At 40.9% G+C, this 15,254-nt stretch overlaps 1 annotated feature.

The window, feature by feature from the left end:
- Window positions 13,378-13,914: an enhancer, noted in NCBI's record as "H3K27ac-H3K4me1 hESC enhancer chr9:32217123-32217659 (GRCh37/hg19 assembly coordinates)". NCBI's record gives its function as "activates a minimal SCP1, AML or CMV promoter by ChIP-STARR-seq in primed H9 embryonic stem cells {active_cell/tissue: H9 hESC(primed)}" and the evidence as "EXISTENCE:reporter gene assay evidence [ECO:0000049][PMID:30033119]".

Below are 15,254 nucleotides of genomic sequence, written 5' to 3'. Positions count from 1 at the left end.
AATAGGAACAGCTCCAGTCTACAGCTCCCAGCGTGAGAGATGCAGAAGATGGGTGATTTCTGCATTTCCATCTGAGGTACCAGGTTCATCTCACTAGGGAGTGCCAGACAGTGGGCGCAGGACAGTGGGTGCAGCGCACCGTGTGCGAGCCGAAGCAGGGCGAGGCATTGCCTCACTTGGGAAGTGCAAGGGGTCAGGGAGTTCCCTTTCCTAGTCAAAGAAAGGGGTGAAGGACGGCACCTGGAAAATCAGATCACTCCCACCCGAATACTGCGCTTTTCTGACGGGCTTAAAAAACGGCACACCAGGAGATTATATCCCGCACATGGCTCAGAGTGTCCTATGCCCATGGAGTCTCACTGATTGCTAGCACAGCAGTCTGAGATCAAACTGCAAGGCGGCAGCGAGGTTGGGGGAGGGGCGCCCGCCATTGCCCAGGCTTGATTAGGTAAACAAAGCAGCTGGGAAGCTCGAACTGGGTGGAGCCCACCACAGCTCAAGGAGGCCTGCTTACCTCTGTAGGCTCCACCTCTGGGGGCAGGGCACAGACAAACAAAAAGACAGCAGTAACCTCAGCAGACTTAAATGTCCTTGTCTGACAGCTTTGAAGAGAGCAGTGGTTCTCCCAGCATGCAGCTGGAGATCTGAGAACGGGCAGACTGCTTCCTCAAGTGGGTCCCTGACCCCTGACCCCTGAGCAGCCTAACTGGGAGGCACCCCCCAGCAGGGGCAGACTGACACCTCACACGGCTGGGTACTCCAATAGACCTGCAGCTGAGGGTCCTGTCTGTTAGAAGGAAAACTAACAAACAGAAAGGACATCCACACCAAAAACCCATCTGTACATCACCATCATCAAAGACCAAAAGTACATAAAACCACAAAGATGGGGAAAAACAGAGGAGAAAAACTGGAAACTCTAAAAAGCAGAGTGCCTCTCCTCCTCCAAAGGAATGCAGTTCCTCACCAGCAGTGGAACAAAGCTGGATGGAGAATGACTTTGACGAGCTGAGAGAAGAAGGCTTCAGACGATCAAATTACTCTGAGCTACTGGAGGACATTCAAACCAAAGGCAAAGAAGTTGAAAACTTTGAAAAAAATTTAGAATAATGTATAACTAGAATAACCAATACAGAGAAGTGCTTAAAGGAGCTGATGGAGCTGAAAACCAAGGTTCGAGAACTACGTGAAGAATGCAGAAGCCTCAGGAGCCGATGCGATCAACTGGAAGAAAGGGTATCAGTGATGGAAGATGAAATGAATGAAATGAAGCGAGAAGGGAAGTTTAGAGAAAAAAGAATAAAAAGAAACAAGCAAAGCCTCCAAGAAATATGGGACTATGTGAAAAGACCAAATCTACATCTGATTGGTGTACCTGAAAGTGACGGGGAGAATGGAACCAACATGGAAAACACTCTGCAGGATATTATCCAGGAGAACTTCCCCAATCTAGCAAGGCAGGCCAACATTCAGATTCCAGAAATACAGAGAATGCCACAAAGATACTCCTCGAGAAGAGCAACTCCAAGACACATAATTGTCAGATTCACCAAAGTTGAAATGAAGGAAAAAATGTTAAGGGCAGCCAGAGAGAAAGGTCGGGTTACCCTCAAAGGGAAGCCCATCAGACTAACAGCGGATCTCTCGGCAGAAACTCTACAAGCCAGAAGAGAGTGGGGACCAATATTCAACATTCTTAAAGAAAAGACTTTTCAACCCAGAATTTCATATCCAGCCAAACTAAGCTTCATAAGTGAAGGAAAAATAAAACCCTTTACAGACAAGCAAATGCTGAGAAATTTTGTCACCACCAGGCCTGCTCTAAAAGAGCTCCTGAAGGAAGCACTAAACATGGAAAGGAACAACTGGTACCAGCCACTGCAAAATCATGCCAAAATGTAAAGACCATCGAGACTAGGAAGAAACTGCATCAACCAACGAGCAAAATAACCAGCTAACATCATAATGGCAGGATCAAATTCACACATAACAATATTAACTTTAAATGTTAATGGACTAAATGCTCCAATTAAAAGACACAGACTGGCAAATTGGATCAAGAGTCAAGACCCATCAGTGTGCTGTATTCAGGAAACCCATCTCATGCGCAGAGACACACATAGGCTCAAAATAAAGGGATGGAGGAAGATCTACCAAGCAAATGGAAAACAAAAAAAGGCAGGTCTCTGATAAAACACACTTTAAACCAAGAAAGATCAAAAGAGACAAAGAAGGCCATTACATAATGGTAAAGGGATCAATTCAACAAGAAGAGCTAACTATCCTAAATATATATGGACCCAATACAGGAGCACCCAGATTCATAAAGCAAGTCCTGAGTGACCTACAAAGAGACTTAGACTCCCACACATTAATAATGGGAGACTTTAACACCCCACTGTCAACATTAGACAGATCAACGAGACAGAAAGTCAACAAGGATACCCAGGAATTGAACTCAGCTCTGCACCAAGCAGACCTAATAGACATCTACAGAACTCTCCACCCCAAATCAACAGAATATACATTTTTTACAGCACCACACGACACCCATTCCAAAATTGACCACATACTTGGAAGTAAAGCTCTCCTCAGCAAATGTAAAAGAACAGAAATTATAACAAACTCTCTCTCAGACCACAGTGCAATCAAACTAGAACTCAGGATTAAGAATCTCACTCAAAACCGCTCAACTACATGGAAACTGAACAACCTGCTCCTGAATGACTACTGGGTACATAACGAAATGAAGGCAGAAATAAAGATGTTCTTTGAAACCAATGGGAATAAAGACACAACATACCAGAATCTCTGGGACGCATTCAAAGCAGTGTGTAGAGGGAAATTTATAGCACTAAATGCCCACAAGAGAAAGCAGGAAAGATCCAAAATTGACACCCTAACATCACAATTAAAAGAACTAGAAAAGCAAGAGCAAACACATTCAAAAGCTAGCAGAAGGCAAGAAATAACTAAAATCAGAGCAGAACTAAAGGAAATAGAGACACAAAAAACCCTTCAAAAAACTAATGAATCCAGGAGCTGGTTTTTTGAAAGGATCAACAAAACTGATAGACCACTAGCAAGACTAATAAAGAAGAAAAGAGAGAAGAATCAAATAGACGCAATAAAAAATGATAAAGGGGATATCACCACCAATCCCACAGAAATACAAACTACCATCAGAGAATACTACAAACACCTCTATGCAAATAAACTAGAAAATCTAGAAGAAATGGATAAATTCCTCGACACATACACTCTCCCGAGACTAAACCAGGAAGAAGTTGAATCTCTGAATAGACCAAATAACAGGCTCTGAAATTGTGGCAATAATCAATAGCTTACCAACCAAAAAGAGTCCAGGACCAGATGGATTCACAGCTGAATTCTACCAGAGGTACAAGGAGGAACTGGACCATTCCTTCTGAAACTATTCCAATCAATAGAAAAAGAGGGAATCCTCCCTAACTCATTTTATGAGGCCAGCATCATCCTGATACCAAAGCCGGGCAGAGACACAATCAAAAAAGAGAATTTTAGACCAATACCCTTGATGAACATTGATGCAAAAATCCTCAATAAAATACTGGCAAACTGAATCAAGCAGCACATCAAAAAGCTTATCCACCATGATCAAGTGGGCTTCATCCCTGGGATGCAAGGCTGGTTCAATATATGCAAATCAATAAATGTAATCCAGCATATGAACAGAACCAAAGACAAAAACCACATGATTATCTCAAAAGATGCAGAAAAGGCCTTTGACAAAATTCAACAACTGTTCATGCTAAAAACTCTCAATAAATTAGGTATTGATAGGACGTATTTCAAAATAATAAGAGCTATCTATGACAAACCCACAGCCAATATCATACTGAATGGGCAAAAACTGGAAGCATTCCCTTTGAAAACTGGCACAAGACAGGGATGCCCTCTCTCACCACTCCTATTCAACATAGTGTTGGAAGTTCTGGCCAGGGCAATTAGGCAGGAGAAGGAAATAAAGGGTATTCAATTAGGGAAAGAGGAAATCAAATTGTCCCTGTTTGCAGACGACATGATTGTATATCTAGAAAACCCCATTGTCTCAGCCCAAAATCTCCTTAAGCTGATAAGCAACGTCAGCAAAGTCTCAGGATACAAAATCAATGTGCAAAAATCACAAGCATTCTTATACACCAATAACAGACAAACGGAGAGCCAAATCATGAGTGAACTCCCATTCACAATTGCTTCAAAGAGAATAAAATACCTAGGAATCCAACTTACAAGGGATGTCAAGGACCTCTTCAAGGAGAACTACAAACCACTGCTCAAGGAAATAAAAGAGGATACAAACAAATGGAAGAATATTCCATGCTCATGGGTAGGAAGAATCAATATAATGAAAATGGCCATACTGCCCAAGGTAATTTACAGATTCAATGCCATCCCCATCAAGCTACCAATGACTTTCTTCACAGAATTGGAAACAACTACTTTAAAGTTCATATGGAACCAAAAAAGAGCCTGCATCGCCAAGTCAATCCTAAGCCAAAAGAACAAAGCTGGAGGCATCACACTACCTGACTTCAAACTATACTACAAGGCTACAGTAACCAAAACAGCATGGTACTCATACCAAAACAGCAGTGTAGATCAATGGACCAGAACAGAGCCCTCAGAAATAACGCCGCATATCTACAACTATCTGATCTTTGACAAACCTGAGAAAAACAAGCAATGGGGAAAGGATTCCCTATTTAATAAATGGTGCTGGGAAAACTGGCTAGCCATATGTAGAAAGCTGAAACGGATCCCTTCCTTACACCTTATACAAAAATCAATTCAAGATGGATTAAAGACTTAAACGTTAGACCTAAAACCATAAAAACCCTAGAAGAAAACCTAGGCATTATCATTCAGGACATAGGCATGGGCAAGGACTTCATGTCTAAAACACCAAAAGCAATGGGAACAAAAGCCAAAATTGACAGATGGGATCTAATTAAACTAAAGAGCTTCTGCATGGCAAAAGAAACTACCATTAGAGTGAACAGGCAACCTACAAAATGGGAGAAAATTTTCACAACCTACTCATCTGACAAAGGGCTAATATCCAGAATCTACAATGAACTCAAACAAATTTACAAGAAAAATCAAACAACCCCATCAAAAAGTGGGTAAAGGACATGAACAGACACTTCTCAAAAGAAGACATTTATGCAGCCAGAAGACACATGAAAAAATGCTCACCATCACTGGCCATCAGAGAAATGCAAATCAAAACCACAATGAGATACCATCTCACACCAGTTAGAATGGCAATCATTAAAAAGTCAAGAAACAACAGGTGCTAGGGAGGATGTGGAGAAATAGGAACACTTTTACACTGTTGGTGGGACTGTAAACTAGTTCAACCATTGTGGAAGTCAGTGTGGCGATTCCTCAGGGATCTAGAACTAGAAATACCATTTGACCCAGCCATCCCATTACTGGGTATATACCCAAAGGATTATAAATCATGCTGCTATAAAGACACATGCACATGTATGTTTATTGTGGCACTATTCACAATAGCAAAGACTTGGAACCAACCCAAATGTCCAACAATGATAGACTGGATTAAGAAAATGTGGCACATATACACCATGGAATACTATGCAGCCATAAAAAATGATGAGTTCATGTCCTTTGCAGGGACATGGATGAAATTGGAAATCATCATTCTCAGTAAAGTATCGCAAGAACAAAAAACCAAACACCGCATATTCTCACTCATAGGTGGGAATTGAACAATGAGAACACATGGACACAGCAAGGGGAACATCACACTCTGGGGACTGTTGTGGGGTGGGGGGAGGGGGGAGGGATAGCATTGGGAGATATACCTAATGCTAGATGACAAGTTAGTAGGTGCAGCGCACCAGCATGGCACATGTATACATATGTAACTAACCTGCACATTGTGCACATGTACCCTAAAACTTAGAGTATAATAATAATAAATTAAAAAAAAAAGAAAATGTGGCACATATACACCATGGAATACTATGCAGCCATAACAAATGATGAGTTCATGTCCTTTGTAGGGACACGGATGATGCTGGAAACCATCATTCTCAGCAAACTATCGCAAGGACAAAAAACCAAACACCGCATGTTCTCACTCTTAGGAGGGAATTGAACAATGAGAACACATGGACACAGGAAGGGGAACATCACACACCGGGGCCTTTCGTGGGGTGGGGGGAGGGGGGAGGGGGGAAGGATAGCATTAGGAGATATACCTAATGTTAAATGACGAATTAATGGGTGCAGCACACCAACATGGCACATGTATACATATGTAACAAACCTGCACGTTGTGCACATGTACCCTAAAACTTAAAGTATAATAAAAAATAATAACATCTGGCAAATGAAATAAGACAATTCTTTCTCCTGATATTTCATCTTAGGCAACTTGATTCATGACAGAACTTCTAAAGAGGAGTATGTACTAAGAATTTTTGGGGCAAAGAAAAGAATGTCAAAGGAGAAAAATTAAAGAATACAAAAAAACAGTATAGAGAAATTTGTGTCTCAATAAAGCATCAATAGAAGTTCAGCACAAGAAACATTTTAAGCATTAAAAATTAGTCATTATTTTGACAGTCAAATATTATCCAAAGATAAATCTAGCAGATAATGTGAATGGTTAGATCAGGTAATATAACTCTGGCTTAAAATGGAAGTATCGGCTGGGTGCGGTGGCTCATGCTTGTGATCCGAGCACTTTGGGAGGCCGAGGTGGGTGGATCAACTGAGGTCAGGAGTTGGAGACCAGCCTGGCCAACGTGATGAAATCCCGTCTCTACTAAAAAATAGAAAGAATTAGCCAGGCGTGGTGGCGGGGCACCTATAATCCCAGCTACTCGGGAGGCTGAGGCAGGAGAATCGCTTGAACACAGAAGGTGGAGGTTGCAGCAAGCCAAGGTTGTGCCATTGCACTCCAGCCTGGGAAACAAGAGTGAGACTCATCTCAAAAAAAAACCAAAAAAAAAAAAAAAATTGAAGTATCCATATAAAATTCAGAAATTATATGATGTGGGACTAAGTACTATAATTTAGGCTAAAAATACCGTAGTTTTACAAATTAACCTTAATTTTTGAGGCATTATCATAGTATCGTGGGTACACAAGAGAATGCCTTTAAGCTGAAATATTTTCATGTGAAATGCATGATGTATGAAGTTTACCTTCAAATGGTCACCAAAATAAGTCAGTTGGTATCTTTTGTTTCCATGTTCACTTTGCTTTGCTGTCACCTTTTTCATCAGGCACAGAAGTCATAGTGCATAGGGCCCGTAATACTCTTAGGGATCCATGAATTGTTTTAATTGCTTTTAAAATCAGAAGACGAAAATAAATTTCTAGGTCAAAGAAATGTTTTAATATATAATATTAATAGTCTTTATGCCAACACAGTCATGAAATATAATTTTGAATATATTTTTATGGAGGAAGAAGCACATGAAAGTGCCTATGGCTCATGAGAGCAGTAATATTACCTTGGTTGCTGCCATTAGAATTTAAGCTCCCTGATAACAGGGACCAGCAGTCTTGTTCCTGCCTGTGTCCAGGACATTCAACACAGTGCCTGGTATGTGACTTAGTCTCAGTTGGCATTATTTGATTGAATGAAAGGGTGAATGAGTTACTTTGACTTGAGATTTATGAACATTGAACATATTCTTCTATAAAAGTTGTATAAAACACTCTTCTATAAGCTAAGTATACATAATCTTTGGAATACAAAACATTTTTGATTGTCAACATCTCTTTGCCTCTTTGTCACAATGGAAAATCGAGAACTGATTGCACAGGAAGGAGAGAATGGACCAATGATTGAACTGTCACTTGTTGACCATTAACTACATGATAGGCAGTGACTTCCATCCCAGGCACTCTTTTTACACACTGTAAGTCCAATGTGTCTGCCTCAAGGAGGAAAAGACATGACAATTTTATGAATATTGTTCTGTATATAACTTGCATATAACAACAACAACACACAGTAACAACTTAATAGTAATTTATTGGGCACTTATCACATGCCAGACAATGTGCTCAAAAACACTTCACATGAATTATGTCATTTAATCCTTACAACAAACAAGTATCCTATAGAAAAACCAACAATACTGCAATTTATAGATGAGCAAACTGGGGACCAAGAGGTTAGTAACTCCCTCAATATCACACAGAGAGCAAATGGCAGGGCCAAGATGTGAGCACAGGTCACCTGACTCAGAAACATATGTGCCTTTATCTGCCCTGTTCTGCTTCCCACATGTGTCTCAGTTGCTAGTGCCTTGAGCAAGCTGTCTGTGAAACTTGAGAGGCTACTTTTGGCTTTTCAAACAATTTGCACTTGTGTGTGTCCCAATTCTGGATTGAATCTTTCACCCATAACTGTCATGGGTAGTAATGTCTGGAACTCAAGTATCTGAAATCACCTTGTGATAATGCCGAGAAACAGAAATTAATGTGAAACAAAAATTTGTACAGGGCTGAGTGTGGTGGCTCACACCTGTGATACCAGCACTTTGGGAGGCTGAGGTGGGTGGATCACTTGAATTCAGGACTTCAAGACCAGCCTAGCCAACATGGCAAAACTCTGTCTCTAATAAAATATAACACAAAAATTAGCCAGGCATGGTGGCACATGCCTATAGTTCCAGCTACTTGGGAGGCTGAAGTGGGAGAATCACTTGAACCCAGGCGGCAGGGGTTGCAGTGAGCTGAGATTGCACCATTGCACTCCAGCCTGGGCAACACAGTGAGACTCCGTTTCAAAAAAAAATTGTACAGCCCCTTTTGCCACAACCTGATGCCTTAGAGTCTATGCTCTGATATGTAAAACACAATGCAGTGTGGGCTATGTTTTAGAGACCCCAGAGAGGGTGAGCTTTGCTGCAAAATCCCTCATGGACCCATTGGCCTGGCAGTAGCAGACAGTCAGAGAGCTAGACTCAGGTTTTCTCAAACTTAACCTGACTTTCAGCTTTTCTGCCCCCAGGACAGGGAAGAGCCCCAAATTTAGGTCTATTAACCTGAAATCTGTCTGTTGGAGACAGGTAACATCTTTCTTTAAAACCAAACTATCTTAAGGCCAAGGTGGTTGTGGTTTTACTGGCTTGAGCACACCACTGACTAGAAAAAACTAGAAGGTGTCCAAAATCAGAAAGTTTCCCCATAAGCCTAATCTGCTGAGAGAACACACAAAAACAGCTATACTTTAAGGCAAGGTTTATAGAGGACAGTTTCTGCATGATGTCCCCTGTTATGGGCCCTGTGATGGTTAATACTGAGCATCAATTTGACTGGATTGAAGGATACAAAGTATTGATCCTGGGTGTGTCTGTGAGGGTGTTGCCAAAGGAGATTAACATTTGAGTCAGTGGGCTGGGGAGGGCAGACCCACCCTTAATCTGGTGGGCACAATCTAATCAGCTGCCAGCGAATATAAAGCAGGCAGAAAAAGGTGAAAAGGCAAGACCGGCCTAACATCCCAGCCCACATCTTTCTTCCGGGCTGGTTACTTCCTGCCCTCAAACATCAGATTCCAAATTCTTCAGTTTTGAGTCTCTGACTGGCTTTCCTTGCTCCTGAAGCTTGCATATGGCCTATTGTGGGATCTTGTGATCATCTAAGTTAATACTTAATAAACTCCCCTTTATATATAGTGTAGCTATCCTATTAGTTCTGTCCCTCTAGGGAACCCTGACTAATACAGGCCCTCTGAGGAATGGTATTCATATTTTAATCTAAAAGATGGTTAGGTATACAGGGCCTGTGTTTATGCAATGAGTGGATGTATGAATGAATGAGCGAATAAATGAATCCCCCCCTCTGTAGGATTCTTCTTCTCCCTAAGTGACCCTGTATATTTTATCTATACTTTTCTCTTTTTTTTTCTTTTTTTAAATTTAAGTTTTAGATTCAGGGGGCACACATGCAGGTTTATTACAAGGGTATATTGCGTGACGCTGAAGTTTGGGCTTCTATTGATCCCATCACCCAGAGAGTGAACATAGCACCTGACAGGAAGGTTTTCAGCCCTTGGCCCCCTCCCTCTTGCTCTCCTTTTAGAGTCCTGTTGTCTATTGTTCCCATCTTTATATACATTTCTATACAGGGCTTAGCTTCCATTTATTAGTGAGAATATGTGATAATTGGTTTTCTGTTTCTATGTTAATTTGCTTAGGATAATGGCCTCCAGCTGCAATCATGTTGCTGGAAAGGACATGACTTTATTCATTTTTTATGCTGTGTAGTATTACGTGGTATATATATACCACTTTTTTTTTATCCAATCCATTGCTGATGGGCACCTGTGTTGTTTCCATGTCTTTGTTATTGTAAGTAGTGCTGTGATAAGCATGAGTGCAGGTGGCTTTTTGGTAGAATAATTTATTTTTCTTTGGGTATATACCCAATCATGGGATTGCTGGGTCTAATGGTAGTTATATTTTCAGTTCTTTGAGAAATCCTTAAACTTCTTTCCACAGGAGCTGAACTAATTTACATTTCCACCAAGAGTATTATCCATACTTTCCTTATGGTATTTTCTATAGTTTACCTATACTTTCTGGCATTGTTATATACTGGAGAGCCACAAAAGGGCTCACAGTTCAACCAGGAAGGCAAAACAAGATCATAGTTTGTTAATGTAGAATACTACATGGAGAAATAGAGGTATGAAATAAGGGATCTCATCTCCTTGGGTGGCTTTTTAAAAAAAGTATTATATTGCAGAATTTATATTTGAAGAACTATTTGAAGACAAAGTTTAAAGCCTAGGATGATGATATGTTTTTCTAGAGAGCATTTTTTTTTTTAAACTTAATTTGGCTAAGGACTGGAGGAATATCTATTTGGAATGATATTAATTCGGTTTTAGGGATTGCGAGAGTTTGAGGCTGAGCATCTGTATTGCAAGGGCCAGTCTACCTTTGTTTCACCATTACCCCTGGGATACAGCTGCTCCAACCCAATGTGTGAAAGCTTCTGAGCTCCCCACCTTCCCAGAGGGTTCCAAACTCCAACTCTTATCCCCTTAGACTTACAGTATGTTGAAAAGAACTGCCCAGACACTCCTCTTTTCAAGGGCCTCTCCTGAGTCAACCAATGTGACTAAGAATAAGAAACATGAAAATCACTTACGTCCCAGAATTTCCATCTTCTGGACCTCGGCCTGATGATTCTTCAATACATTGTATTTGTGATGTCTTAAAGTAGATTTAAAATTTTTTTTAACTTTCTCTATGTAGGAATATTAGTTCCAGTCATCCACTTTGCTATTACCAGAAGTGCAAACACTGATATGGCTTCTTTTTTGGAAGACCCAAGGTAAAAATAATTATCATAAAAAATGCTATAGCCATTGGTATTTTATAGACAAGATTCTGCTACTTAGCATGATTCTTTCTTGAACTCCGAATACTATCATTTTAGACTAGGGAGAAATATTACTGATCACTTTGTCTTGATGCTTGTTTTACTGAGGATGGGAAAAGGGAAGCGACTTATATAGGAGTGGATAGAGCTAGAATTATTACCAGATCTGAGTATAGTACCCCTCAGCTGTCCACACAATGCACCAATTTAATAAAATAAGGCACTACCATAGAAACCTTCAGTAGTAAGTACGTTTGGCAGAATGATTAAACTTTGCATTTAAAATATTACCTGATATGAGAAAATATATACCTTCTAGAAACACTTTAATACTTCCATGACTGCTGTTTTATAAAGATTTCTTCCTGGAATTTTTTTTTTTTTTTTTGCAGTTTTCCAAGAAATGTCTGCTTCCACAATCCAAAAGATAATCTTAGTGCATAGCCCTTTTAACATTAGTGAGAGCTGCTCCTCTACAAACTTTTCTTTGCAGAGGTTTTCTTTTGACAGTGTTGCTGCTCTTCTTGTTCATATTCTTCTTTTCTCTGGCAGTCAGTTGTCTTTGATTATTCTATATGAACCTCTTCCCTTCACTAGCAACATTTCCTCTCACATCTTTCTTCACTGAAATTTAAATAAATTTCTCAGAACTATAGGGAGAGGGATCTTTATTCTCTAATAAAAACTTATTAAATCAAAAGGATCCATTCAGCCAAATTTCAACAAAAGATAGAAGTTTCTAAACTAAATATTATGATGTATAACTGATGTGTCATATGTATCAGAAATATAATTAAATTGCATGTTATTTAGTGACTTCATCATTATATCTGCATAAGTGAAGATTACTCAGTTGCTTTTAACCACATTTGGTTTATAAACTGCCATGCCAAAAAATTTACTTCTATGCTTCAATTTCTGTAAAATGGTTAAAACTCCAGAGAAAGATGAAGATTATAAAGCCTACATATAGGATTATAGGATTATTTATAGCATAAATCTTGGTTTCTGGTACTTCTGACTTCAAAGCTTTGCATAGATTACAGAGGAATACTGCTGTTAATCATTCTCTCTGAGAACACTAGAGAACTGTCTTTTAGAATAGCATTTGTCTTAATTATTGTAAATCTTCTCTTATAAAAAGTAGAAACAATCATTATTGTAGTTTCTCAGAGATTTGGTAAGTATATAAAATCAGATCAAAGGGAGAAAAATAGCAAACTCTTATGGCTATGGCATGACAGAACTGGAAAGTCCCTTGGAAACAATCAGGCTAATGCTATTAGTTTGATTTCCTCTTTTTGTAGATGAGTAAACTGTGAAGTTTCAGAGGATGGTGTGCCTTACTGCTGGTAATGCTCACTGTTCAAAGACTACCAGAAAGACTTGTAGTGAAAAGAATTTGGGTTACTTGATGTAACAAGGAAGACTGATCCCATCAGCACATGTGGCATGTCTCAATAAGAGTGTGGTGGGAGGACTCCTTATATAATTTGGCTTCATGTTAGATGATTTGAGGGAAGATTTAAGGAGGCAGGTGTTTGCCATGAATTGCTTACTGTCAAGAAATGTAAGTAATTCTATGACTGAGGATCAACAGTTTTTCTACAGGAGGCAGAAGAAACAAAATAGGGGGGTGGAGCCAAGATGGCCAAATAGAAACAGCTCCAGTCTACAGCTCCCAGCGTGAGCGACGCAGAAGACGGGTGATTTCTGCCTTTCCAACTGAGGTACCGGGCTCATCTCACTGGGGAGTGTTGGACAGTGGGTGCAGGACAGTGGGTGCAGCACACCGAGCGTGAGCCAAAGCAGGGCGAGGCATCGCCTCACATGGGAAGTGCAAGGGGTCAGTGAATTCCCTTTCCTAGTCATAGAAAGGGGTGACAGACGGCACCTGGAAAATCAGGTCACTCCCACCCTAATACTGCATTTTTCCAATGGTCTTAGCAAACGGCACACCAGAAGATTATATCCCGTCCCTGGTTTGGAGCATCCTACGCCCACAGAGCCTCGCTCATTGCTAGCACAGCAGTCTGAGATCAAACTGCAAGGTGGCAGCGAGGATGGGGGAGGGGTGCCCGCCAATGCCGAGGCTTGAGTAGGTAAACAAAGCAGCCCGGAAGCTCGAACTGGGTGGAGCCCACTGCAGCTCAAGGAGGCCTGCCTGCCTCTGTAGACTCCACCTCTGGTGGCAGGGCACAGCCAAACAAAAGGCAGCAGAAACCTCTGCAGACTTAAATGTCCCTGTCTGACAGCTTTTAAGAGAGTAGTGGTTCTCCCAGCATGCAGCTGGAGATCTGAGAACGGACAGATTGCCTCCTCAAGTGGGTCACTGACCCCCGAGTAGCCTAACTGGGAGGCACACCCCAGTAGGGGCAGACTGACACCTCACACGGCCGGGTACTCCTCTGAGACAAAACTTCCAGAGGAACGATCAGGAAGCAACATTTGCTGTTCAGCAATATGCGCCGTTCTGCAGCCTCTGCTACTGATACCCAGGCAAACAGGGTCTGGAGTGGACCTCCAGCAAACTCCAACAGACCTGCAGCTGAGGGTCCTGACTGTTAGAAGGAAAACTAACAAACAGAAGGGACATCCACACCAAAACCCCACCTGTACATCACCATCATCAAAGACCAAAGGTAGATAAAACCACAAAGATGGGGAAAAAACAGAGCAGAAAAACTGGAAACTCTAAAAATCAGAGTGCCTCTCCTCCTCCAAAGGAACGCAGCTCCTCACCAGCAATGGAACAAAGCTGGACGGAGGATGACTTTGACGAGTTGAGAGAAGAAGGCTTCAGACGATCAAACTACTCCGAGCTAAAGGAGGAAGTTCGAACCCATGGCAAAGAAGTTAAAAACCTTGAAAAAAAATTAGACAAATGGCTAACTAGGATAACCAATGCAGAGAAGTCCTTAAAGGACGTGATGGAGCTGAAAACCACGGCATGAGAACTATGTGACAAATGCACAAGCCTCAGTAGCTGATTTGATCAACTGGAAGAAAGGGTATCCATGACGCAAGATGAAATGAATGAAATGAAGTGAGAAGAGAAGTTTGGAGAAAAAAGAATAAAAAGAAATGAACATAGCCTCCAAGAAATATGGGACTATGTGAAAAGACCAAATCTACATGTGATTGGTGTACCTGAAAGTGACGGGGAGAATGGAACCAAGTTGGAAAACACTCTGCAGGATATTATCCAGGAGAACTTTCCCAATCTAGCAAGGCAAGCCAACATTCAAATTCAGGAAACACAGGAATGCCACAAAGATACTCCCTGAGAAGAGCAACTCCAAGACACATAATTGTCAGATTCACCAAAGTTGAAAAGAAGGAAAAAATGTTAAGGGCAGCCAGAGAGAAAGGTCAAGTTACCAACAAAGGGAAGCCCATCAGACTAACAGCGGATCTCTCGGCAGAAACTCTACAAGCCAGGAGAGAGTGGGGGCCAATATTCAACATTCTTAAAGAAAAGAATTCTCAATCCAGAATTTCATATCCAGTCAAACTAAGCTGGATACTAAGTGAAGGAGACATAAAATCCTTTACAGACAAGCAAACGCTGAGAGATTTTGTCACCACCAGGCATGCGCTAAAAGAGCTCCTGAAGGAAGCACTAAACATGGAAAGGAACAACCAGTACCAGCCACTGCAAAAACATGCCAAATTGTAAAGACCATCGAGGCTAGGAAGAAACTGCATCAACTAACGAGCAAAATAACCAGCTAACATCATAACAACGGGATCAAATTCACATATAATAATATTAACCTTAAATGTAAATGGGCTAAATGCTCCAATTAAAAGACACAGACTGGCAA

Source organism: Homo sapiens, chromosome 9 (assembly GCF_000001405.40).
Source record: "Homo sapiens chromosome 9, GRCh38.p14 Primary Assembly".
Taxonomy (NCBI): Eukaryota; Metazoa; Chordata; class Mammalia; order Primates; family Hominidae; genus Homo; species Homo sapiens.
Note: the sequence above shows the minus strand (reverse complement) of the source record. Positions and strands in the feature narration are given on the sequence as shown.